General features: G+C 39.0%; 4 annotated features.

The window, feature by feature from the left end:
* Positions 6,909-7,109: a silencer, noted in NCBI's record as "peak1633 fragment used in MPRA reporter construct". NCBI's record gives its function as "represses an SCP1 promoter by STARR-seq MPRAs in K562 erythroleukemia cells {active_cell/tissue: K562}" and the evidence as "EXISTENCE:reporter gene assay evidence [ECO:0000049][PMID:32103011]".
* Positions 17,222-17,271: an enhancer, noted in NCBI's record as "active region_6153". NCBI's record gives its function as "activates an Ori minimal core promoter by ATAC-STARR-seq in GM12878 lymphoblastoid cells {active_cell/tissue: GM12878}" and the evidence as "EXISTENCE:reporter gene assay evidence [ECO:0000049][PMID:35858748]".
* Positions 21,299-22,096: an enhancer, noted in NCBI's record as "OCT4-NANOG-H3K27ac hESC enhancer chr12:28058285-28059082 (GRCh37/hg19 assembly coordinates)". NCBI's record gives its function as "activates a minimal SCP1, AML or CMV promoter by ChIP-STARR-seq in primed H9 embryonic stem cells {active_cell/tissue: H9 hESC(primed)}" and the evidence as "EXISTENCE:reporter gene assay evidence [ECO:0000049][PMID:30033119]".
* Positions 22,097-22,895: an enhancer, noted in NCBI's record as "NANOG-H3K27ac hESC enhancer chr12:28059083-28059881 (GRCh37/hg19 assembly coordinates)". NCBI's record gives its function as "activates a minimal SCP1, AML or CMV promoter by ChIP-STARR-seq in naive H9 embryonic stem cells {active_cell/tissue: H9 hESC(naive)}" and the evidence as "EXISTENCE:reporter gene assay evidence [ECO:0000049][PMID:30033119]".

Consider the following 27,511-nt stretch of genomic DNA (forward strand, 5'->3'; position numbering starts at 1 on the left):
GCTGGTCTTGAACTCCTGGCCTTAAGCAATCTTCCCACCTCAGCCTCCCAAAGTGCTAGAATTATAGACATGAGCCACTGAGCCCAGCCTTTTAAAAATAGAAATTCTGAAGCTAAATTTCATTGCATTCATTGTACTAATTTTCATTAGTTATTTCTTTTCTGATTTTGTTAAATTGTTTCTTTGCATTTTCTTAAAGCTTGCTGAGCTTCTTTAAAAATAATTATTTTGGCCAGGTGCAGTGGCTCATGCCTGTAATCCCAGCACTTTGGGAGGCTGAGGCGGGTGGATCACTTGAGGTCAGGAGTTCAAGACCAGCCTGGCTAACATGGTGAAACCCTGTCTCTACTAAAAATACAAAAATTAGCCAGGCATGGTCGTGGGCACCTGTAATCCTAGAAAATCAGGAGGCTGAGGCAGACGAATTGCTTGAAACCAGGAGGCGGAGGTTGCAGTGAACCAAGATGGTGCCACTGCACTCCAGCCTGGGTGACAGAGCAAGACTCCATCTCAAAAAAAAAAAAAAAAAAAAAAAAAAAAAGAAAAAGAAAAAAATATTATTTTGAATTCATCAGACACTTTATGTATCTTCATTTCTTTGGGGTTAACTGTTGGAAAATCATTGTGTTCTTTTGATATTGCTATACCTCATCGATTTTTCATGTTTCTTGTTGGATTACATTGATGTCTGTATATTTAGTGAAGCAGTCAGTTAGTTACCTCTTGCAGACTTTATGGGTTAGTTTCACTGTGGGACCATCTTCTCCTCTGGGGATGGAGGGCACAAGGGCACTTGCCTGGTAGAGAGTGCAGCAGTTCTGGCACCAGTGAGAATATAGCCATATGGTTTCTGTGCAGCTCTGTCAGCTGAGGTTGACATTGACAAAGATTGGAGGGATCCTCACTGGCCATCAATGTGGATGTCTGCAGTGGTGGTAAGAGTCATTGGGTTTTTTGGTGGTGATGGCTGCTGTGGTTCTCTTGATCTCTTTTTCTCCCACCGGGGAAGTTGTGCCTGAGGGAATCAGTTTTGGCACTGGCCTTATGTGCTCATTTGAAATGAAGGTGGCTCTAATTTCTGATAGGTAACACTCATGTCTGATGAGCTGAGGCCTGAAGCATGATCATGTGTGGAGGGCCTGTGGCTCTGTTATCTAGGGCAGCAATGGCACTGGTGCTCAGGGGGCAGACATTCCCACTGCCATGTTAGTAAGAGTAAGGAGGTTTGTGTAGCAACCAGGTAGCTGAGAATGGGAGCACAGGTGTGTGTAGAGTTATAGTAGCTCTGGGGTTGAGGCAGGGTCTGGCTCTCTGTAGTGGCTAAGCTTGTACCTGGAGCATGGTCATGCTCAGAGAGACCTTGGCTTCAGGGCCCAAAGTGTGAACAAGTTTGCAATGGTAATGGCTTTGGGTTCTGAGATGTGGGCAGGCACAGTGAAACCATAAAGCCCAGGTCCCTCATGGGGAGGTCAAGGCTTGGGGGTCAGGGCACACATGAGTTCAGGAGAGGTGGCAGCTCTTTTCCTGGTTCAACAGCACTGCTTCTTGAGGCAGGTAGGGATATGCAGCCAAGTCTCACTCTCTGGGGTTATCCAACAGGAATGGCTGTTTATTACCTCAATAGCAAAGGATACCAATGTTCTCTACAGCAGGCTGCTGGGGACCATGATGGTTCCATGCACATGGGTGATATTGATAGCCTCCACCCTTCTTCTTTGTTCCCAGCTGTTTCCTGGCATCTCAGCTATACCAGTCTCACTAGCAATCCTTTCTATAGGGATATTCTCCATTTTTTTCCTCCACTATGTTGCTGCAGGTTCTTTAATGGGCCCTTGAGCCCTTTCGGGGCTATTTTGATCTGTGGATAGCCATCTATATTTGGTTGGTTGTGGAGGGATGAAGGCTGGTATCTCCTACCCCACCATCTTAGTGACATCACTCCTCCAAATCGGAATTTTGATTTTATACAGACTTGTATTTTTTTGCCCATATTTGGGAACATTCAACCTTTGTAAGGAGTACTTGAGGCCAGGAAGTTTTTTGTTGTTTTTTAAATCAGAAGTATCCATATATTTACATTTAGACAAGTACTTCATGAAGTCCCAGAGTGCCAGACTACTAAATAATGAAAACTGAATATTGGTCAGAAAAACAGTGAGTACAGAAATGATTTACTATCTGCCTCTCTCTGAAATTAGCCCAAACTAGCTCATGTAATTTTTTTTGCATCTTAATGGATGGTTTAGTGGCAAATGTAATCTTAGACAAGTTACCTGCGGGTGGGATTTCTAGTATTATTTATTTGAAAGCTGAAGCATGTCTGGGAATAATGATGATCTGGAGTACAAAGGTACATTAAATTGCTATTCTGTTGCAAAACTGTATCCTGCAGAACATTCAAACTCTTTCTTTTCTTCATTTCTCCATAGATTTAAGATTTTATGCACAAAAGATAGGAGGTAGCAAAATCAAGCAGCACAGAGGGGCACAAAATAAATAGTAAATCTCTTGCCTTACCCTCTCGATTTCCAATTCCACCTTTAGAAGTATTCTTGACATTTTTTGTGTATGTTTCCAGAATTTTTTTGTGCATATATAAGTGTGTGTGCATGCATGTGTGTGTATACACATACATATATATTCACTCTCTTGAGACAATACATGTATTATTTTATGACTTACTTTATTCAGTTAATCTATAACTTGGACATCTTTGCATAGTTCTGTATATACATATACTTAAAATTTTAAAGGGTACAAAATATTTCATTGTATGGATATAGCATACTTAATCAGTTTAGTGCTGAGAACATTAATGTTGTTTTGAGTTTTGTTCAATTTTTCTTTTCTTTTTTTTTTTTTTGAGACAGAGTCTTGCTCTGTTGCCCAGGCTGGAGTGCAGTGTCGTGGTCTAGGCTCACTGCAAGCTCCGCCTCCTGGGTTCACACCATTTTCCGGCCTCAGCCTCCCCCGTAGCTGGGACTACAGGTGCCCACCACCGCGCCCGGCTAATTTTTTTTTTGTATTTTTAGTAGAGACGGGGTTTCACCTTGTTAGCCAGGATGGTCTCGATCTCCTGACCTCGTGATCTGCCCGCCTCAGCCTCCCAAAGTGCTGGGATTACAGGCGTGAGCCACCGTGCTCGGCCTGAGTTTTGTTCAATTTTTCTATGAACATCCTTGCAGATATATTTTTATGCCTTTTTGTGATAGCTGCCTTAGGGAAAATTCCTAGAAGTAGTATAAATGAGTCATAGAGTAGATGCATATACAATTTTTATCTTGTATTGCCAAACCACCCTTCAAAATGCTGTATCAGTTTTATTCAACTAGTAGTATGTGGGAATATCAGTTTCTCCAAATTTTGCCAACATTAGCTTTCATCAAATGCTTAATCTTTGCCAATCTGTTGGATAAAAAATAGCATTTCATTCATTTGATTTGTATCCTGTAATTATGATTCTGACTGGGCATTGTGTGTATGTATGTGTGTTTTGTTGGTCCTTTTATTTCTGCTTCAGATTTGATCATTTCTTTGCTCATTTTTTCTATTGGGTTATTTGCCTTTTATTTGTTTTGTAAGTGTTCTCTGTATATAAAGGACATTATTCTTTTGTCATTAATGTTACAAATACTTTTCTCGATTTATAATTTGTATTTTGGATATTTTTATAGCATGTTTATACAGAAAATTTTAATTTCTGGTAGTAAAATTTACCACTCTTTCTTATGGCTTCTAAAATTTGTGACATGCTTAGAAAGGCTTTTACTTTACTCAAGTGTTCAAGACAGATTCAGCTATGTTTTTATCTAATACTTTCATAGTTTTGTTATTTATACTTAGGTCTTTATCTATAAAATGGGGATTATAATACAATCTAGGTTATAAGACTGTGATGAGGATTGGGGGAGTAGAAAAAATTAACTTTTTGTCAGGTATATTCTTATTTAATACTTTTAAAGGAGAATATATAAGTTGCTTCTGTAAAATAAGATATGATAAAATATACTTGTTAATAAAGCTATGGATTATTGTATGTTAATTTTATAATCAGCCACCTTACTCTTACTAAATTTTCTCATGGTTTCCAATAGCTTTTGGTTTCTTTTGGTTTTCTAAATTTAGAATCATTTTTTTCTGCAAATAATGATAATTATTTTCTTGTTTTTTAATGCATTGGTTAATACATATTAAAAAATGCTACGTAATAATTTTGAAAGTAGGAATTTTAAACTTGTTTTTTACTTGATGGCAAATGCTTATGTAAGCATGGTTCTGCCTCTTGTTTTGAAGTATACACAAAATATTTTGTTGTAACATTTTTAAAAAAGTTAATACATGTTCATGGTACAAAACTCAGGAAAATAAAAGAGTAAATGTGAAAAGTAGGCTAGGTCTGGTGGCTCATGCCTGTAATCCCAGCACTATGGGAGGCCAAGCGGGGCAGATTGCTTGAGCCCAGGAGTTCAAGACCAGCCTGGGCAACATGGCAAGACCCCAACTCTACAAAAAATACAAAAATTAGCCAGATGTGGTGGCATGCACCTGTAGTTCCAGCTACTTGGGAGGCTGAGGTGGGAGGATTGCTTGGGCCTGGGAGGTTGAGGCTGCAGTGAGCCAAGATCGCACCACTGCACTCTAGCCTGGGTGACAGAGCCAGAACCTGTCTCAAAAAAAAAAAAAAAAAAAAGTGAAAATAATTATTTGTCATACCTCTTTGCCTTATTGACCCAGATCTCCGCTTAAAACAAACATTGTTAAAGACAGCTTCTTTAATATTGACCCAGAGATATGCTCAGCATTTATAAATATGTGTATAAATGTAGTAGAATTCTTAAACAGATCTATCTTCTCTTGTGTGTTGATATATGGAGATCATAAGGCATTTACAAGGATGTCAGTTTAGAGAGGTAGGAGGTTTCTGTGTAACCATTTTTAAGGACACTTTATTGTCTTACCAATCAGTCTCAGTCATGTAGTTATCTTTGAATTCCATCTATAGTCACCATAATTTTTGGGTTTTTTTTTTGGTCTGGCAGAAACAGTAGCTACACAGGTGTGCTCTCTTTATGGCCACAAAATTTCCATCCTGCTCTAATGTGTCCCTGATAGACAACACTCATTCTGGGATCCATTTCAACCATGATCACCATTCTAGAGATTCCCCTTGCCTTTCCAGTATTGGATCCTGAGAAAAAAATGAAAGGAAAATAACATTTTTGAATTATTACATCAGAAAGTATTCTTTTTTCTACATTTCTAGTTGATTGGCAGTTTGGCTGCATATAGAACTATAGGCTGAAATTACTTTCCTTCAGACTTTTGGAGGTATTACTCCAATGTCTGATAGTATCAGTGTTGCTATTAAAAATTCAAAGCTTTTTTTGCTTGCTGGTTCTTTGTAGGTGTTCCTTTAAAAAATCTCCAGAATATTTTAAAAACTTCTCTTTGTTCTTGGTGTTCTAAAATCTTACCATGATGTACATTGGTGTGAATTATTTTACCTACTATGCCAGGCGTTTGATAAATCTGTTTCATCTTCAAGTTGATGTCCGTCTCTCCTGGGAGTTTTTCTGCAATTATTTTATTGCTAGTCTCTTCCTCTCTGATGTCTCTATTTCTTTCTCTTCTCAGTTTTTTTTTTTTTTTAAAGATGATCTTGTTCTTTCATCATGGATGTAAAATCTTTTATCTGAGGATAATAATGATAGATTTTTTTAAGATATACAAAATCCAGTATTTTTTCAAGTTTCTATTTTCATCTTCTCTTATTTTTTATTTTTAGTGCTAAAATGAGATATCTCATAATAGTTAATTGTCAACTTATTAAAAGTAAGAAATTAAAAGCTATTTGGGACCTCTGAGTATTTTAGAAATATGCAAGAAATGGAGGCTGAGTGTGGTGGCTCACACCTGTAATCACAGCACTCTGGGAGGCCGAAGCAAGAGGATCACTTGAGGCCAGGAGTTTGCAACCAATCCGGGCAACATAGCAAGAGCTCATCTTATTAAAAAAAAAAAAAGAAATGCGCAAGTTAAACCTTTTGTATTGCTGTATGAAACCTTATTGCTCCATCCTTCATCCTACAAATCCAACACTCTAATGCACTTAACCCCCCAAAACTCTTGTATGTGGCTGTTGGGTGAGTTCTTCTCCAACACTTAGAGTAAATTGATGTGATTTTATAACATGTCTTTTTGGAAATATGTACCAAAGTGTTACATGTGTATAAAATTTTGCCTAGTAATCCATTTTCTAGGAAATTACATGCCAAAAGTTGTCCACAAAGAGACGTTAATTGCAGTATTATTTTAATAGCAAAAATGGGGGAAGCTAAACATTTCCAACAAAAATGACTTAGTTATATAAATTACATTAAATAAGCTACAGTGAAATACTGTGAGGTGTTAAACTACTGTTAAAGATCTGTATTTAGTGACCTTGGAAATTGTCTCAAACATGGTAAGTGGAAATGGCAAGTGACAATATAAATAGTGTGATCTCACTGATGAGAATATTTTAAAAACTTCTTATATATAAGAAGTTAAATATATCTTCTAAATATATAGAGATTTATCTATAAAGATTTTAAGCAAAATGTTAATGGTTAGATCTGGGTGTTGACATTTTAGATTTGTTTCTATTTCTTTGTGTTTTCCTGTATGGTTTAATTTTTACTTGCTTTTTTTTAACAATAAGAATTTTTTAAAAGTTTTATTTTCATTGACATAGTAATTGTACATATTTATAGAGTATAATGTGATGTTTTAATACATGTATACATGTATATATTGTGTAATGATCAAATTAGGGTAATTAGCAAATCCATTGATTCAAGCATTTATTATTTCTTTGTAGTGAGAACATTGAAAATCCACTCTTCTGGCTATTTTTAAATACAAAATACATTCTTGTTAACTGTTGTCACTCAACTATAGTCACCCTATCGTGCAATAGAACACCAGAACTATTCTTCCTATCTAACTATAACTTTTTATCTGTTGACCAACCTATCCCCGTCTCCTACTTTCTTCCTCAGCCTGTGGTAACTACCATTCTACTCTGTACTCCTGTGAGATAAACTTTTTTAGATTCCACATATGAGTGAGATCATACAGTACTTGTCTTTCTGTGTCTAGCTTGTTTCATTTAACATAATGTCCTACAGGTTCATGGATGTTGTTGCAAATGACAGGATTTCACTTTTTTTTAATGACTGAATATACTCTATTGTTTCTATATACCACATTTTCTTTACCTATTCTTCTCTTGATGGACACTTATGTTGCTTCCTTGTCTTGGGTGTCGTGAATAATGCTACAAGGAACATGTGGGCACAAATTTCTTAATGAGGTGTTGTTTCATTTCCTTTAAATGTACACCAAGTAGTGGGATTGATAGATTATATGACAGTTCTATTTTAATTTTTTGAGGAAACTTCATACTGTTTTCCATAATGGCTATACTAATTTACATTCCCACAAAGTGTGTGTAAGGGTTCCTTTCTCCACATCCTCAGCAACACTTGGTATCTTTTGTCTTTTTGAGAAGAGTCATTCTAACTGGAGTGAGGTGATATTTCATTGTGATTTGAATTTGCATTTCCCTGATGATTACTGATTGCTGTGGTTTGGATATGATTTGTCTCCATCAAATCTCGTATTGAAATTTGATCCCCAGTGTAGTGATGTTGGGAGGTGGTGGAGCCCAGTGGGAGGTGTTTGAATCATGGGGGTGGATTCCTCATGAAGCCTTGGTGCCATTCTTATAGTACCGAATTCTCACTTTCAGGAGACTGGATTGGTTTGTCAAGGAATAAATTAGTTCAAGCTTGTCCAACACACAGCCCACAGGCCACATGTGGCCCAGATGGCTTGGAATGCGGGCTGACACAAATTTGTAAACTTTCTTAAAATATTATGAGTTTTTTTTTTTTTTTTTTTTTGCTCATCAGCTATTGTTGTTGGTGTAGTGCATTAGCTATTGTTGGTGTTGGGGTATTTTATGTGTGGCCCAAGACAATTCTTCTTATTCCAATGTGGCCCAGGAAAGCCAAAAGATTGGACACCCTGGATTAGTTCTTGTGAGAGTGAGCTGTTATACAGCTAGGACTCCCTGGTGTGTAGTTGTCCATAATATTCTCTTATAATTCTTTGTATTTCTGTGGCATCAGTTGTAATATCTCCTTGTTCATCTCTGATTTTATCTGAGTTTTCTTTCTTTCTGGCTAAAGAGTGTTGATTTTGTTTATATTTTCAAAAACCCAATCCTTCATTTGGTTGATTTTTGTATTTTTTGTCTATTTTTGTTTATTTATGCTATGATCTTTACTATTTCATTTCTTCTAATTTTGAGTTTAGTTAGTTTTTGTTTTTTTACTTCCTTGAGGTGCAACATTAGGGTATTTGTGCTCTTTCTTCTATATTGATATAGGTCTTTATTGCTATTAACTTTCTTCTGAGTACTGCCTTTGTCATATTCCACAGGTTTTGGTATGTTATATATCCATTTTCAGTTGTCTCTAGAAATTTTTAAATTTCTCTTTTAATTTCTCTCCTTTAGTTAACCCATGGTTGTTCAAGAGCATGTTGTTTAAATTTCCATGTATTTTTATAGTTTCTAAAGTTCCCTCTCTTATTGATTTCCAGTTTCATACCATTGTGGTCAGAAACAGTATTTGATACTATTTTGATTTTTCTAAATTTGTTAAGATTTGTTTTGTGGCTTACCATATGGGCTATCCTGGAAAATGTTCCCTGTGTACTAGAAAAGAGTATGTATTCTGCTGCTATCGGATGGAAAGTTCTGTGTATATCTGTTAGGTCCATGTTATCTAATGTGCAGTTCAATTTCAGCATTTTCTCATTAATTTTCTGTCTAGTTGATCTGTCCATTGTTGAAAGTGGTGTGGTGAAGTCCCCTGCTATTATTGTAATGCAATCTATTTCTCCCTTCATAGTAGTTCTGGTTACTAGTGGTCCATTATTATTTGCTTTATATAGTTAGGTATTCTGATATTGGGTGCATATATATTCACAATAGTTATGTCTTCTTGATGAATTATACCCTTTATTATTAAGTAATGACATTTTCTGTCTCTTGTGACAATTTTTGACTCTCTATCTGATATAGTTATAGCTACCCCTGCTCTGTTTTGGTTACCACTTGAGTGGAATAGCTCCTTCCATCCCTTTACTTTTGGTGTACCTATGTCTCTTATAGGCAGGATATAGTTGGATCTTGTTTTTTAAATTTATTTATCCACTTTATGTTTTTTATTGGAGAATTTAATTAATTTACTTTCAAAGTAATTGTTGATGGGTAAGGACTTACTACTATCATTTTGTTAATTGTTTTCTGGTTATTATATTTATTTATTTATTTATTTTGAGATGGAGTCTCGCTCTGTTGCCCAGGCTGGAGTGCAGTGGCATGATCTTGGCTCACTGCAACCTCCGCCTCCCAGGTTCAAGCAATTCTCCTGTCTCAGCCTCTGGGTAGCTGAGACTACAGGCACGTGCCACCACGCCTGGCTAATTTTTTGTATTTTTAGTAGAGACGGGGCTTCACCATGTTAGCCAAGATGGTTTCGATCTCTTGACCTCATGTTCCACCTGCCTTGGTCCTCCAAAGTGCTGGGATTACAGATGTGAGCCACCATGCCCTGCCTGCTTTCTGGTTATTTTAGAAATAACAAGAAACCTTTGAAGAAACCAGAAACCAGAAAATAACCAGAAATAACCAAAATAACCAGAAACCAGAAGAAAGAAACCTTTGTTTCTTTCTTCCTCTCTTGTTTATCTTTGTGAGTTGGTGATTTTCTTTAATGGCTTGTTTTGATTCATTTCTTTTTATCATTTGTGTATTTGCTATCTTTTTGCGCTTTGTGGTTTTCATGAGGCTTACATAAAACATGTTATAGTTATAACGGGCCATTTTATACTGATACCAACTTAACTTTAGTCACACACAAAAACTCAAAACACTTACGCTCTTTCTCCACAAATTGTATTTTGATGTCACAATTTACATTTTTTATATTATGGATTTCTTAACAATTTATTGTAGCTATTTTATTTTTTGACTGTTTTGATTTTAATCTTTGTACTAGATAGATACATGATTTACAGAGCACCATAACAGTATAGGGATATTCTGAGTTTACTTATATTTACCTTTACCAGTGAATTTTATACTTTCATGTATTTTCATGTTGGTAATTACTGTCTTTTCATTTCTACCTGAAAAACTTCCTTGAGCATCTCTTGTAGGGCAGGTCTAGTGGTGATGACTTTCTTCCACTTTTGCTTGTTTGGGAAAGACTATTTCTCCTTCATCTCCGAAGAACAGCTTTGTTGGGTATAGCATTTTTGCAGGCAGTTTTGCTTACGCACTTTCAACATGTCATCCCATTCTTTTCTGGCCTGCAGGGTTTCTGCTGACATGTCTGCTGATGATCTATGGTCATTCTTTTGTATGCCACTTGGTACTTTTCTTTTGCTGCTTTTAAAATTCTCTGTTTTTGACTTTTGACAGTTTAATTATAATGTGCCTCAGTGGGGATGTCTTTGGGCTGAACCTATTTGGGGATCTTTGAGCTTCATGTGTCTGGATGTCCATACGTCTTCTGAGAGTTGGGAAGTTTTCAGCAATCATTTTATTAAACAAGCTTTCTGTCCCTATTTTTGTATCTTCTAGATGTCTCATAATGCAAATGTTTGTTCACTTAATGGTGTCCCAAAATTCCTATAGGCTGTCTTCATTCTTTTTCATTCTTATGCTTTTTTCCCCACTGATTGGGTAATTTCAAAAGACCTATCTTCAAGGTCAGATCCAGTATGTTATTGAAGCTGTCAATAACAATAAGACATTTTTAAAAAGTTTTTCTTATTTATCGCTTAGTTTATTTTGTCTCTTTTTCTTTTGGCCATTTTGAAACTAACTGCTTAAAATAAAAAAGTTCTTCTGATCAGTTTTTTTGTTACTTTATTTAAAAGTTTATTTGGAGAAATTTCATAAAATAAAAAACTTTGGAATGTCTGTGGATACCAACTTTTCATGCTATTTCATTGACCCTTATTATGAAAAATCATTTATAAGTTAAATTCTTATTTTTCTTGAATTTATTTTTAAAATCTCTGGACCTCAGGTGTTGTGTTTCAAAGTTGTGACTTTGCTACCTAAACATATTTAATTCAACATACAACTTGTTATATTGCAATTGCTTATTGCAGCTTTTCTTACATAAGATAAATACTAATCAATGATTATAACAAAATAAAATAACATTTAGTATTTGTTTAAAACTTATGCCTTGTCTCTAGAAGAGGAACTTCTTTAAAAGTAAGTCTTGGTGCTATATTGAGATATAGTTGTGAATTCTTCGTTTTTTCTCTGTTTTCTGTGGAGGATTTGTAGACTAACACAAAGATAAATAGTAGTGAAGAGGGATAAGTAAGAATACCGTGAGATATTCAGCCAATTTCCGGTAGTGTTTGCATCACTAATTAAATGACGAATACCAAAAGTGGGAAAAAGTAATGAAAACATAGAGCTCCATTCTTGCACTCGACACTCAGGCATTTGACGTGATCATATTTAGCTTTTTCAGCAACCCTGTAAGGGATTTATTCCTCATGTTTTAGGTAAAATTCCATATCCAATGTCATACAGCTAGTAAATAATAGAACCTAGATCTGTTTCCAAAATATACAAATTTTTCTGTTTTCATTCAGTGGTCCTCCCAGATGGTAAGGCTATCAAACTGGAAAACATTTTGAAAAATAAATAGAACAAATAAGACTATACATTATGGTTATTACTGGGCTTTTAAAAAATGTTCTCTGTGTATTGTTTACTGGATTTGCTTGCAAGGGCAGGGTGAAATTAAGCAGTACATCCTGATATGGCTGTGCTGTGGAGTTAGGAATATATTTGAGTTTGTTCATGAGAAAAAGTTACATCTTTATGTGTGTATATATACAAATGTACATCTTATGTGTGAATATATAATATATTGTGTAATATAATATATTACACACATATATACATCATGTGAATACTATATTTTATGCATATTTTGGCACACACACACACACACAAATATTTAAAATTTTTTTGAGGAAAGAGATGCCGTCAAAGGGTTCACTCAAAGAAAAAATGTTTTCATTTCCACAGCCAGTGAATACCACTTAAAAATTTTCAAATGCGGCCAGGCGAGGTGGCTCACACCTGTAATCCCAACACTTTGGGAGGCCGAGGCGGGCGGATCACCTGAGGTCAGGAGTTTGAGACCAGCCTGGTCAATGTGGTGACACCCTGTCTCTACTAAAAATACAAAAATTAGCTGGGTGTGGTGGTGGGTGCCTATAATCCTAGCTACCCAGTAGACTGAGGCAGGAGAATCGCTGGAACCTGGGAGGCAGAGGCTACAGTGAACCAAGATTGTGTCATTGCACTCCAACCTGGGCGACAAAGCAAGACTCTCAAAAAAAAAAAAATTCAGATGCATAATTCCCCTTAAGAACATAGAAGAGGCCTTGAAAGAGCTGGGGATTTTCCCTTTCAACTGTCACAAGCTCCTTTTTTTTGGACAGCGACATCATGTTCTTCCTGTATGACCTCTACTTTCATAAACATGCTCATTAAATTTTTTATGAAAACTGAATATAACATTTTCTTTAAGTTAGTGAAAATGTTGTTTCTTCTGTTTTGCCTTCAAGTTTCCTAGTTTTGTAATGATGTCATCTGCTGGGTGTTAAGACATTTTGTACATGCTGAATATGCCTTACCTTTATAAAAGTTCTTCACTCTTGAGTCAATAAGATGTTGGTACTTTGTCTATAGTCAGGCATAAAAACTTGACTTTTATATTGTAGGTAAAATTCTGATGTGATGCTTTAGCACATTTTTATCAATGCTGAATAATCTACACTAACTTGTTTACTAGAATTTGTAGTCTATTTTTCTTCTTTAAAGAAAAGGATACAAAATATCAACATTAGATTTTATTCTGGGTTACTTATGAGAAGAAATGAAATGGCATAAGAAGTCTTTAGAAGACTATAAGAGAATGGGACAATGTTAAAGTCAATATTGAATGACTATCCCTGTGCTATTACTTATATTGTAAATTTTGTAAATTTTAGCCATATTCTGTTTTTTTTTGAGACAAGGTCTCACTCTGTCGCCCAGGCTGGAGTGCAGTGGCGCTATCTCAGCTGACAGTAGCCTCTGCCTCCCGGGTTCAAGTAATTCTCGTGCCTCAGCCTCCTGAGTAGCTGGGACTACAGGCGTGCACCACCACGCCCAGCTAAGTTTTGTATTTTAGTAGAGACAGGGTTTCACCATGTTGCCCAGGCTGGTCTCGAACTCCTGACCTCAAGTGATCCACCCGCCTCAGCCTCCCGAAGTGCTAGGTTACAGGTGTGAACCACCGCACCTGGCCCACATTCTTTAAGTGAAAACATTTGTGTACGTGATACTTCTTAACAGACATTTTTGTATTATTAACTTCCTCTAGGCAAATTTGAATATTGAGAACCCCCCCGGCTGTAATCCCAGCTCTTTGGGAGGCCGAGGCGGGCGGAGCAAGCCGTCAGGTGATCGAGACCATCCTGGCCAACATGGTGAAACCTTGTCTTTATTAAAATACAAAATAATTAGCCAGGTGTGGTGGTGCGTGCCTGTTATCCCAGCTACCTGGGGAGGCTGAGGCAGAAGAATCGCTTGAACCTGGGAGGCAGAGATTGAAGTGAGTCGAGGTTGCACCACTGCACTCCAGCCTGGTGACAGAGTGAGACTCAAAAAAAAAAAAAAAAAAAGCCAGAATTACAATCTTCTAACCTTATATTTAAACCTTTGCCACATAAACATTAAGATGTTTTCAGATATTCTAGAATCATAGAATTTCAAGCTGTAAAGAGTTTCAGAAATCACCTATTAATAATTTGATTTCTTTATTTTGTAGGAAATAGAACTTAGGATCAAAGAAAAGTTGAGTCGTTTTTCTAAGGCAGAACAGGATTAAGGCTGAGACATACTTCTCCATGAACACGTTTCTCCAGACTGGTGCTCTGTCCTTTGGTCTACTGTCCCTGTGATGTTTTGAATTGGTAGAAAAATGCTATGGTCAGATAAAATGAGCAGTTGAGGTCAAAATCCATACCCGTTAAGGTAAATATTTATTCCCCCACCTCCCCAGAGTTACAGTGCTCTGTTTCCAGTGGGCAAAGTTCTTTTAATAGAGTAAGTCTTGAAATCCAAATAAAGTTTGGATTTCAGTTAATAATAATGCATCAACATTGGTTCATCAGTTGTAAATGTGTCACCCATATGAGCTTAACACAAGGAAACTGGCTCCAGGGTAGAAGGGAACCCACTGTACTCTCTGAGCAGCTTTTCTGTAAACCTAAAACTCTTCTAAAATTGAAAATTTACTTACAAAAAGTATCTTTTTTTTGTAATATTAGTGGGAAATTGTTATTTTTCTTTTAGGAGTTTTCTGAGGAAGTACTTTAGATGAATGTGAAGGTGACCAGTAAAGGGAGACTATGAAGGCAAATATTGAAAGTATTTGTTTTCCTCCTCCTCCTTTCAAAGAGTATGCAGTCACAAGAGATCCAGGCGATAGATTAAAAAATATTAGAACAAGAGAGCCTTAACAATCCAAATCCAATAGTCGTTATGCTGTTAAATAGCACAATGTTGAAAATTTTTTGGTTATCATTAAAGCATAGAGGTTGAGGACATTCGAAAATATGATTCCTTCCTTAGTAGCCATTTGCTTGCAGAGATTATATTGATTGATTATGGTGCATGATTCATAGATGATAACATCTAAAGTTTTCTTTTCCATTTCAATTTTTCTCCTCCTAAAATTTAGCAAGAGTTCTTCCCATGCAGATTTTTGGATAGCTTTGGTGATATGAGCAGTTGGTTAAAGTGACAGGGACAATTCCCCACCCCTGAATTCCAGCGGTTTGTGCTACACATTACCAGGATGGTCTATTTGTAAAATCATTTGTAGCATGCTTCATATTCATCTCCATCCTCTCCCTGTTCCCAAAGTTGCATTCTATGACACAACTTTACAAAACGATTTAAATCATGGACTAATGTACATGTAGAATTCAAATAAATCTCCAAGTAAGCCTAGGCCTCTTTGTGCAGGGCTTTGTTTTTAACTGGCTCAAGTCCCTCGCTGTGCCAAATGGTATGACAGCTAGCAGACTTGTTTATCCCTTGAATGATGTGTCAACTCCAGCAGCCCCCAAACTGAGCTATAGTATTACATGGGTGTTGTTTTTTCATGTGAAATCGTCTGTCAGCATTGACTCTGAAGTCAGCAGCAACTTCTCCCTTCATGTTCTCACAAAGGAAAATGTGAGCTGAGTGCGTAGGCTTGGATTTTCAGTCGCTTGCTCAGATGTTGTAACCATGATGACTCTTCATCTATGCATGTTATGGCTCGAGAGCCTGAAAACATAACCCAGGCTTTGTCAACACTGTCAGCTGTGTGTGTGTGTGTGTGTGTGTGTGTGTTGGGGCAGGGGAGGAATTCATCCTCTGCCTCTCTGTACAGCCCCGTCTGAAAATACTTTGCTTCCTGATTCTACATACCCTACGATGGCTTGACCCCATGAATGATTTACTTGTCATACGTATTCTGGAAAAGGCAGAATATCCATAAAGGAACTGGAATCTGACTAATAAGGTAATTTATATATCCATTAAAAATATTTTTTTTGCAAATTAAAACTACAGTGAGATACCATCTCACACCAGTCAGAATGGCTATTATTAAAAAGTCAAAAAATAACTGATGTTGGTGAAGATTCAGAGAAAAGGGAACGTTTATATACTGTTGGTGGGAATGTGAAGTAGTTCAACCCCTGAGAAAAACACTAAGGAGATTACCCAAAGAATTAAAAATAGAACTGCCATTCGCCCAGCAATCCCACTACTAGGTATCTGCCCAAAGGAAAAGAAATTGTTTTACCAAAAGATACCTGCATTTACATAATCCCATATATATATATATATATTTTTTTTTTTTTTTTTTTTTTTTTGAGACAGAGTCTCGCTCTGTCACCCAGGCTAGAGTGCAGTGGCGCGATGTCGGCTCACTGCAAGTTCCGCCTCCCGGGTTCGCACCATTCTCCTGCCTCAGCCTCCCGAGTAGCTGGGACTACAGGCGCCCACCACCGCGCCTGGCTAATTTTTTGTATTTTTTTTTTTAGTAGAGAAGGGGTTTTACCGTGTTAGCCAGGATGGTCTTGATCTCCTGACTTTGTGATCCGCCTGCCTCGGCCTCCCAAAGTGCTGGGATTACAGGCATGAGCCACCGTGCCGGGCCCATAATCCCATATTTCTCAGAGAAAAAAAGACACCTGCATTCGTATGTTTATTGCAGCACTATTCACCATAGCAAAGTCAAAGAATCAACCTAAGTGTTCATCAGTGGTGGACTGGATAAAGAAAATGTGGTATGTATACACCATGCAATACTATCAGCCATAAAAAAAGAGTGAAATCACATCCTTTGCAGCAACATGGATGGAGCTGAGGCCATTGAACCTAAGTGAACTAACTGAGAAACAGAAAATCAAATATTACATATTCTCACCTGTAGGTGGGAGCTAAACAATGGTACAAATGGTCATAAAGATGGAAAAAATAGATACTGGGGCCCCCCAAAAAGGGAAAGATGGGAGGGAGGTGAGGGTTAGAAAATTACCTGTTGGGTACAATATTCACTATTTGGGTGATGGGTTCACCAGAAGCCCAAACGTCACCATAAGACAATATCTCCATGTAACAAACCAGCACCTTGTAGCCCCTGAATCTAAAATAAAATAACAAAATAAAAAATAGCTAAAAATAAAAATACATTCCTTGAGTACACATCCTGTGCTGGACACTATCTTAGGCACTCAGTAAATGACTGAGCTTGGTTATTTAACATTATAGCCTCAAAAATCTGTATCGTGCTAATATCTTCTATATGCTCTTCCACCCTTCTTCACACTGGTCTGAAGCCCAAGAGGCTGAACTACATAGACTATGAGGAAGAGCTTTTGTATTCTCTGGTCTTCAACTGTGTTGGCTAATAAAATGCACCCGGAGGAGACTGGAAGGAAAGGGGAGAGTGAGGTTGGGGTGTTTGTTGTCAGGTATCTTTCTTGGGAGGAATTGTAGGTCCTGTTAAACAGCCTTTTCCGCCCAGTCTTCCCTCTTTAGCTTCCTCCAGGCTGAGGGGTTATAACAGGGTGGTCATTACGAGCCCCAGGGTTCTGCACTATCCACCAAGCGTTCCCTACACCCTGCTCTATTGCCTTGGTAAAAAGTCCCTTGATTAGAACTTCCTCAAATTGACCTTCTGTTTCCTGCCAGCACCCTGACCGATACAGTCATGGTAAGTAATCCTGGGCACAGACCACAGCCCAGAAACTACGGCTTTCACATGGATTATTGGATTTTATTCTCTCTCAAACCCACATAAAGTAAATTCTGGTACCTTAACTGTGACAAATGAAGAAAGTGAACTTTTGAAGGCTTTGGTAACTTCCCCAAGGCCATGTAGGGAGTAAAAGGTGGAATCAGGTTCTATGACTTCTTAACCCATGTCCCAGCTCTCTTTTGTGTCTCTTTAAGTGGGTTGCAGTTCTCCATCGCTGTCATTAACATGCAGCCAGGACAGAATGTCCATCATGCTTTGTTACATCTATATCTCAACATCATGAACTCAGTTCTATTTCTATTCAGTCTTGAGATATGGAAGTAAGAATATACAATTACTTTGGTTAATTATTACAGTTCTGGATTTGAATCCCTGGAACATAAGTATAAAAGAAACCCTGGATCATTAGGATAAATTTAGTTACATGGCATATCAGTGGATTTAAGGGCTTATTCTCCTACTGCAAAAGTTAGAAGAAGAAATTACCTAACTGTAAACCTAATTTTAAACCCAGTTATGAAGTTGACACATGCTGACCTGCATCTCATGTGGCTCAGATGGCTTTGGTAGTCCACGTGGGGATTCTGCTTTATGTCTGTCGTGATGGTAGGCACAGCAGCCAAGGGAAATTTGTTCCCACACAACCTACGACATCATCACTTTCCCCCACAGAGAATTCTCCAGGGTGTCAGTTTTCACACTTTGATCATCTATTATATTATTCTCTGCCTGGATTCTAGACAGATGCTGTAAATTCTCACAAAATAGAAAAAAAATTGAACTTCTTATAGAAATACAAACACACTAGGAGGGAGAATTAGGGTCATTTGTCCCATGTAGGTAAAGCTTTAGTTCCTATTAAAGCATTCACAGAGTTAAAAGATTAATCTTTTCCAAGTTATTTTCCACGTTTGCTGTGCTTTTCCCTCTGCCTGTCCTGTCTTTGTGTACAGTGTAGGTTTGATTTGATTTCTAAGGTTCGTATTGGAAGTCACTCCTTTGGGTTTTTTCCTTGGCATTTTCAAAGGGAGGAAAGAATTTCTCACCTCTGGAGTTCTACTCTGCTGCAGGTAAAGAATTTAGCAGCTATGGGGGTGATAATTAGAGCCAGTAATAATTTGACTGACTTACTAGGCACAAAATTGTACATCAGATCTCTCTTTCATGTTGTAAGATGGTTATTTAAATCTCTACATATGTGGTTTAAGAGATCTACAGTGTCTCAAAGTCACTGGTAAGGTGATTTAGCCAGGGGCATCCAAGTGAATATTGCCGATATAGATTTTTGTGGATGAGCTGCAAACTGTCTGGCAAAAGTCATTTTAGAAAGAATTTCAAAACTTTTAAGTATTGGTATGCAGGGGAAATTCAGAAGCTGGCTATCTCTTTTGGCCGGAGTGTTACAGGAGGAGTCGGGGATTCTTGGGTTCAGGAGGTGGGGCAGCAGCACTGACTGAGAGGACCCCAAGGAGAACCCAGAACAGAGTTCCTCCTGCCCAAGCTAGAGCCTCAGGATCTTCCTTATCTCCTTTTTCTTACTCTTAGATTTAATATCACCTTGGAAATGTCTGGGCAATTTGGCCCTCTTTTTCATCCCTACAGCCACCACCTTAATACAGGCCTCATCATCTCTCATTTGGGGTAATTATTGCACTAGCGTCTTAACGCACGGAATGTTGTAGTCCTTTGGGGCTGCTGTAACAAAGTGCCATATACTCGGTAGCTTATAAACAACAGAAATTAATTTTTTCACAGTTCTAGAGGCTGCAAATCTGTGATACAGATGCCAGCAGATTTGTTATCTGGTGAGGGCTTACTTCTTGGTTCATAGATGGCTGTCTTTTCATCTTTTTGCTATGTCCTCATGTGACAGAAGGGACAAAGGAGTTCTTTGTGGTTTATTATTATTTTTTGTAAGAGCACTAATCCCATTAATGAGGGCTTCACCCTCATGACTTAATCACCTCTCAAAAGCTGTACCTCTCAATACCATGACTTCGGAGGTTAGGATATCAACATATTAGTTTTAAGACACAAACATTTAGTCAAGAGCACCAATCTACTTTCTCCCTCCCTAACGAGCAGAGATGTTTTCTAAAATACAAATCTGGCCATGTATCCAACCCTACTTGAAGACACACTCATGCTTGCAAGTATCTTAGAATTTTTCGGCGGCTTCTTAACCTCTAAGGCAATATTTCTTTACCTGTTCTACCTTGATACACCTGAGAAAGTGGCTTGTTCATAGGTATGGATGGCTGGGGGAAAAGGGAGACAGGAAGGGGTGGTAAAACTACTGTGATGTGTTTGTAAAATTTGTAACTGCCCCATGGGTTCACTTTGCCTGCTGCCTAGACAGAGCTGATTTACCAAGACAGGGGAATTGCAGTGGAAAAAGAGTAACTCATGCAGAGCTGGCTGTGTGGGAGATGGGAGTTTTATTATTACTCAAAATCAGTCTCTCTGAGCATTTGGGGTTGGCGTTTTTAAGGATAATTTGGCAGGTAGGGGCTTGGGAAGTGGGGAGTGCTGATTGGTCAGGTTGGAGATGGAATCACAGGGGGTCGAAGTGAGTTTTTCTTGCTGTCTTCTGTTCCTAAGTGGGATGGCAGAACTTGTTGAGCCAGATTACCAGTCTGGGTGGTGTCAGCTGGTCCATCCAGTGCAGGGTCTGCAAAATATCTCAAGCACTGATCTTAGATTTTACAATAGTGATGTTATCCCCAGGAGCAATTTGGAGAGGTTCAGACTCTTGGAGCCAGTGGCTGCGTGACCTCTAAACCATAATTTCTAATCTTTGTAGCTAACTTGTTAGTCCTGCAAAGACAGACTGGTCCCAGGCAAGTCAGGTATCTTTTTGGGAAAGGGCTATTATCAATTTTGTTTCAGAGTCAAACCATGAACTGAATTTCTTCCCAAAGTTAGTTTGGCCTATGCCCAGGAATGAATAAGGACAGCTTAAAGGTTAGAAGCAAGATAGAGTTGGTTAGGTCTGATCTCTTTCACTGTCATAATTTCCTCAGTTATAACTTTTGCAAAGGTGGTTTCAAAATCCACAGGGTGATTTTGATATACCTCCCAATTGAGGGGAGGAGAGGGCACGCCTCACTTTGATTCCTTTGAGGACATCTGCTTGAAGGCACCAGAAGGACAGACACCCCCAACTTGGCTCACCTCATCAGCTTCACTCCCTCCTTCTGGGCCTCTCTGACTGACACTGCCACCACTACTGTTCCCACTCAAAGCTCCTAATCATGCCCTATGAAATCTTCTCTTTCAAAAATATCTGCCTAAATATTAAGGAGCAAAGTGAAAACTTTCTAGCTCTTTGCTCTTAAACCCTTACTAGGCCTTTTGTGAGCTGGCCCTGGCTTGCATGTCAGTCTTCACACTCACATTCTCCACTCCATCTATGGGGGGCTCAGAGAGTGTCTCAAACACCAGGCTTTCTTCTCTTTCCATGCCCCTGGGTTTCACACACAGCTTTCCTGCTACCTGAAGTATTCTTTCTTTTTCTGGTTAGTTATCACTCATCTTTTCAGTCTGGATGGGGTGCTTCTTTCATAAACTTGTTCCTTTCCATTCCATGGCACTTACCACTGCTGATCAAAAAGCCAAACTTTGTAAAATATTTAAAGAGGTTTATTCTGAGCCAAATATGAGTGACCATGGCCCAGGGCACAGTCCCAAGAGGTCTTGAGAACATGTGCCTGAGGTGGTTGGGTTACAGCTTAGTTTTCTACATTTCAGGGAGACAGAAGTTACAGGCAAAGACATAAATCAGTACATGTAAGGTATACATTGGTTTGGCACGGAGGGCATGACATCTCGCAGGATGGGTGTGGTAGCTTCCGGGTCATAGGTGATTTAAAGATTTTCTGATGAGCAGTTGGTTGAAAGAGTTAAGTTTTGCCTGAAGAGTTGACATCAGCAGAAAGAAATGCTTGAGTTAAGGGGAGCTGCAGAAGCCAAGGCTCTTGTTATGTAGATGAAGCCTCTAAGTAGCAGGCTTCAGAGAGAACAGATGGTAAGTAAATGTCTCTTTTCATACCTTAAAAGGGGTCAGACTCTTAGTTAAATATCTACTGGATGCGGAAAATACATAGAAGGGGAAGAAGAGTCTACAGAATGCAAATTCCCCTACAAGAGACAGTTTTGCAGGGCATTTCAAAGTATGTCAAACAAATATATTTGGGGGTAACATACTCTGATTTCCTTGAGGGCCTGTTATCTGTCATGCAATGCCATTCCAAAGTCAGGTTGGAGCTGGGTATCTTATTGCCACAAAGAGTCTGTTTTGTCGTTCTTATGATTTTTAGTTTGGTGTTAATGCTGATCAGTTTTGCCTCAACCCCAAAGGTAAAAGCTATAATGAGGCATGTCCAATACCTCCTTTCCCATCGTGGCTTGAACTAGTTTTTCAGGTTGAACTAGTTTTTCAGGTTTCTTTGGGATCCCCTTGGCCAAGATGAGGGGTCCATCCAGTTGTTTGGGGGGCCTATAATTTTATTTTTGGCTTACACCACACTATTTTAATTATTAATACCTAGTTACTTATCTATATTGGCTTCTATACTCCAGGGATCTATGTCTATTGTAACCACCCAAGGGGTTCTTCCTGCCTGCTGCACAAATAAAGACCACAGCATTGCAGTAAAGAAAGAGTTAATAGACACGAAGCTAACCATTCCATGTGGGAGATGGAGTTAGTACTCAAATCATCTCCTCCAAAGCTTGTAGGTTAGAGGTTTTTGAAAGTCCGTTTGCGGGAAAAGGTGGGGGTGGGTAGGCTTGCTGCTGATTTCTTGGGAAGGAGATGAACTCATAGGGGGTCAAAGATGTCCTCTTGTGCTGAGTCACTTCTGGGTGAGGTCACAAGAGCAGGATTGGCAGGTCCAGGTAGTGTCAGACATGTAAAAATCCTGAAAAGATATTTCAAAGGCCAACCTACAATACTGGTATTATCTGCAGGAATGTCTGGCAATTTATGTCTACATCTTAGCAGAACTCAGATCCCTCTCTTTCCCCAGGCTAATGGCCTTTCATTAGCTTTACAAAGACAATTGAGTATTGGGGAAGGCCCAATATCATTTAAACTATAAACTAAGTTAGCTCAGCCTAAGCCCAGGAATGATTAAGGCAGCTTGAAAGCTAAAGGCAAGAGTTCGGGTGGGCCAGATCAGATCTCTTTCACTTTTATAATGTTTGCAAAGGCATTTCACTGTCTTTCTTATTGTTGACTCCTAGGCATTCAGCCCACCATCTGGTACATACTAGATGGTTAATACTTGTTTATTATATGAATAAATGGAGAGGACAAGAGGGAAATAAACAAGGATGATGCAAGAAGCATGAAATTATTCAAAGAACATGCTCCTGATCCTCTCCTAGCTTCTTTTCTCACAAGATTCAAAGGCTGTGACTCAGTCTACATCTCATTTTAGTTTGCTACATTCTAGTCTCAAAGGGTTGGTCTGATTGTGAAGACAATTTGTGTTTGCTAGTTCCCCTCTTCTATATTGGGTGGGGGGCACTGTTTTACTTCTCTAGCATTCAGGAATGAATCTGCAAGATATTTTGCTGCTTTTATAATAGGGAGCTTCTCATGTTTTTCATGAAGTGTAGCTTTTTCTTTTGCACTCTTGGGATCTGTCATGAGAAAAGCACACTCTCTGTGCTATTCCGCCTTCAGCCTAGGCCTCACAGTGAAGACATGTGGGACAGACTAGATAGAGCCCAACTGCAGCCTGAGTCAGAGCCACCCAGCTGACCTGCAGACCTGAGAGTAAGAACACAGATGTCTTTTGCTACAAGCCACTAAGATATCTGGGTTTGTTACCTGGCATTATTGCAGCAGTAAATAACTAATACACCATCTGCAGTATAGGAAGTAAAGAGCTCTCATTGACCCCAAATAAAATACGTACTTAGAAACATAAGAACTGTGGTTGATACAGCAGATTGCCTCACTCATCATCCATTCCAACCTCATTCTAGTATTGTAGAGTCTGGCAGCCACAAATTACATTTCCTAGATCCTCTTACAGCTAGGTTTTCAAATGTAACTTAGGTTCCATCAATCAGATGTAGTTGTATGAAACATGAATTCAGAACTGAGTTAAGCAAGGCACCCATTTTTATTGGTGCAGACTATGGCAGAAGCTTCCTTACTTGGCAACTTTCGGCACAGGTGGGGGCAACATTGTTTACCAAGGGGCGTCTTGTGATTCTGGAGACTGAGAGGTTCTCCTAGATCCTCTGCGTAGTCTGCTCTTCCAAGCCTTCCAATGTTTTTGTGAACCACATACCTGGTATTGTAGCATAAATTCCTTTCTTCTTAGTTAGAGTGATTTCTGTTGTCAGCTACCAAAGTCTAACTGATAGAAATCATACAGCTGGAATTTCAAACTATAAGCCCATAAAAATCATACCATAAGAATTTCAAACTAAAAATTACAGGCTGATTCCTCATAGCCTCTTAATCACCTATGAGATAAAATATAAGTTCAGCCTGATATACATTTCACAATATGACCCTAACCTACTTTTCCAAACTCTTCTCTTACATCCTTTCTCAACTATTATAAGCACCAGTCATACTGTGCTGCTAGACATACACAAAGAACAACATGCTTTTCTGTGCCTTGGGCATGACATTTTCTCTTCCATGCACTTACTTTTTAACTCCTTGTTTTGTTTAATTAGCAAATGTTTATTGATTGCCTGCAATATGCCATGTCCTGTGCTAGGCAGTGAAAGTATAAAGATAAATAAACAAGACCCCGATATGCAAGGAGATCATAATCTAGTGTGACAGACTAAAATATAAATAAATAATTATAATAAATCTTGTTAAGTGCTAAGATATGAGTTTGAAAAAAAAAGAAAAAAATTCCGGGACAATGGAAAAAAAAAAAAAAACCAGAGGCTTGTTTACCTGAAGAATTGGTAAACGCTTACCAGAGAAGGTAATCCTGGAGTTAGGGTTTATAATGTGAATCATCTTAGTCAGTTCAGGCTACTAAAACCATACCATGAACTGGGTGGCCTAAGCACATGCATTGATTTCTCACAGTTCTGGAGTCTGGGAGGTCCAAGTTCAAGGCACTGGCAGATTCAGAGTTTGGCAAGAGCCCCCTTCCTGGCTCATAGAAAGCCGTCTTCTTGCTGTGAACTCACATGGCAGAAGTGGGTGAGAGAGCTCTTTGGAGTCCCTTTTATAAGGAGTATTCCCATTTCTTAGAGCTCCATCCTCATGACCTAATTACCTACCAAACGCCCCACCTCCTAATACAGTCCCCTTGGGTTCAGGATTTCAACATATGAATTTTGTGGGGAACACAAACGCTCAGTCCATTGCATGAATTGTGTAGAAAATTGACCAGGTATAGCATATGCCAGGAAATGATGAAGAGCAATTCAGGCTTTCAGAGTAGGGGAGTAAAACAAAATTAGATCACATTTGCATTTCAATTGTAAATCACTTTTTAAAGCAATATTATGGAATCTGGCAAGCAAGAGAGTCAGTGGAGGTTTTTCTATAAGGAAGTAATGTGATTAAATTATACTCTCATGCTTATTCTGGTGGCCACATGGAACAGGGACTGGAGTGGAAGAGACTGACGACCAGGAAATAGTTTAGGAGATGGTTGCGATGCAGTGAGACTCTGAGCTAATTCAGTAGCAGAAGCGGGTGGAGAGAAAGAGATCAGTTGTCGGAAATGTGTTTCTGGGATAGAATGTATAGGACTTGACGAACCATTAGATCTGAGGAATAAGAGGAGAGAGGAATTGGGATTCTGACGTTTCTGGCTTTCATCATTGGCTAGATATGTGCAAGCACTTGTTAACTTTCAATAGATATTTATTGAGAAAATGACTACAATTGGCTCCACTCACCCAGAGAGAATATAAGAAAAGAATCGTGTGTGTGTGTGTGTGTGTGTGTGTGTGTGTGTGCATGTGCATGCATGTTGGAGCTGGGGGAGGAAAAAGTGATGTTTTGAAATGTTCCCGTGTTTTGTCCACTTGCTCATTGATAGTAGACAGATTAATTCTGGGGAGTGATCAGAACTGGAGCTATCTATTATATTTGGATATCAAGAGCATATAGGAAGATAAGAGAGGGTAATATTGCCCAGGGTTAGTGTGTAGAGTGAGAAGAAAATTGGTCTAGGGATAAATGTTGGGGAATGCCAATATAAAGGGAAGATAGAGCGGGAGGAATCAGAGAAGGAGACAGGGAAAGAATCCAAGGGGAAAACCATTTTAAGAAGATGGCATTTGGGATATCAAATGTAGCCGAGTAAGAGATGTAAAGTGTCCAGTGGATTGAAAACTAGGAAGAGCAGCTTGGCAAGAGCACGCTCCACTGTAGTTGTAGTTGGATGGTAGTGGTGTGAATAGGATCTGAGAGTTGGAAAGAGATAATATTAATATACTTACATGTTTGGGCCTGGGTGAGAATAGCAGGAGAGGTAGGGTAGTTGTTCTAGGGAGGCTAAGGATAACAGGAAGATATCTTCTTTCTTTTAACTTTTTTTTTGCGATGGAGTCTCACTCTGTTGCCCAGGCTGGAGTAACAGTGGTGCGATCTCAGCTCACTGCAAACTCCGCCTCCTGGGTTCAAGTGATTCTTGTGCCTCAGCCTCCTGAGTAACTAGGATTACAGGTGTGCCCCATCATCCCACCTAATTTTTGTATTTTTAGTAGAGATGAGGTTTTGCCATGTTGACCAGGCTGGTCTGGAACTCCTGGCCTCAAGTGATCCACCCGCCAAGGCCTCCCAAAGTGCTGGGATTACAGGCATGAGCCACCGTGCCCAGCCAGGGAAGATATTTTCTAGAGGAGAATGAAGAGACAGGATATAACAAAACTGCTGTCCTACCACTATTAATACCATCACCACCTCTGCTAACACCACCATTAACTAAAGTAAAGATACATTGCCTTGCTGGGCGCAGTGGCTCACACCTGTAATCCCAGCACTTTGGGAGGCCAAGGCGGGCAGATCACCTGAGGTCAGGAGTTTGCGACCAGTCAGACCATCATGGAGAAACCCCGTCTCTAATAAAAATACAAAATTAGCCAGGCGCTATATCCAGTCCCTCAGGAAGCCCTGTCAATTTTACCTCCCACACACCCACCTTTTACTTCTGTTCACTTCTTCTCCATGGTTGCCATCATTACCTTAGTTCAAAGTATCATCACCTTCTTCCTGGACCCTTATGTAACTCCTAGCTAGTTTTACTCTACCCCTCTGTTCTCTACACAGTAGCTGGAGTGAATTTTCTATTGGAAATCTGGTAACACCACATCCCTTCTTAAGCTTCCTAGGTGTTTCTTCACTGCCTTAACACAGCATGGGATGTTTCAGTCGTGCCTCATCGCCTTGCCTTTTCTACACCAATCACAGTTATCTTTTCCTTTTTTGTTTTTCTTTTGAGACGGAGTCTCGCTCTGTCGCCCAGGCTGGAGTGCAGTGACGTGATCTCGGCTCACTGCAAGCTCCGCCTCCCGGGTTTACGCCATTCTCCTGCCCCAGCCTCCCGAGTAGCTGGGACTACAAGCACCCGCCACCACGCCCGGCTAATTTTTTATATTTTTAGTAGAGACGGGTTTTCACCGTGTTAGCCAGGATGGTCTGATCTCCTGACCTCGTGATCTGCCTGCGGCCTCCCAAAGTGCTGGGATTACAGCCGTGAGCCACCGCACCCGGCCATCTTTTCCTTTTTAAAAACACTTGCCACAGGGCCTTTGCACATGTAGTTTCCTATTCTTGGAACATGTTTTCCTTCCCTCTTCATCATAGTCAATTTTTGCTCTTCTTTCAGATCTCATCTCTAGCACTGTTTTCTCAGAGAAGCCCTCTTCAACCTCCTTGACTGAGTCAATCCTTCCCATTTTCATAGCCCTGGATACCTTTCCTTATAGTGCATGTCACAGTTTTACATTTTGTCTCTCCCTCCACCTCTAGACTATAATCTCCAGAAAGAAATGGACCTTGTCTGTTTTTACGCATCATTATCTTACTCCAGCAATTAGCATGA

Source organism: Homo sapiens, chromosome 12, assembly GCF_000001405.40.
Source record: "Homo sapiens chromosome 12, GRCh38.p14 Primary Assembly".
Taxonomy (NCBI): domain Eukaryota; kingdom Metazoa; phylum Chordata; class Mammalia; order Primates; family Hominidae; genus Homo; species Homo sapiens.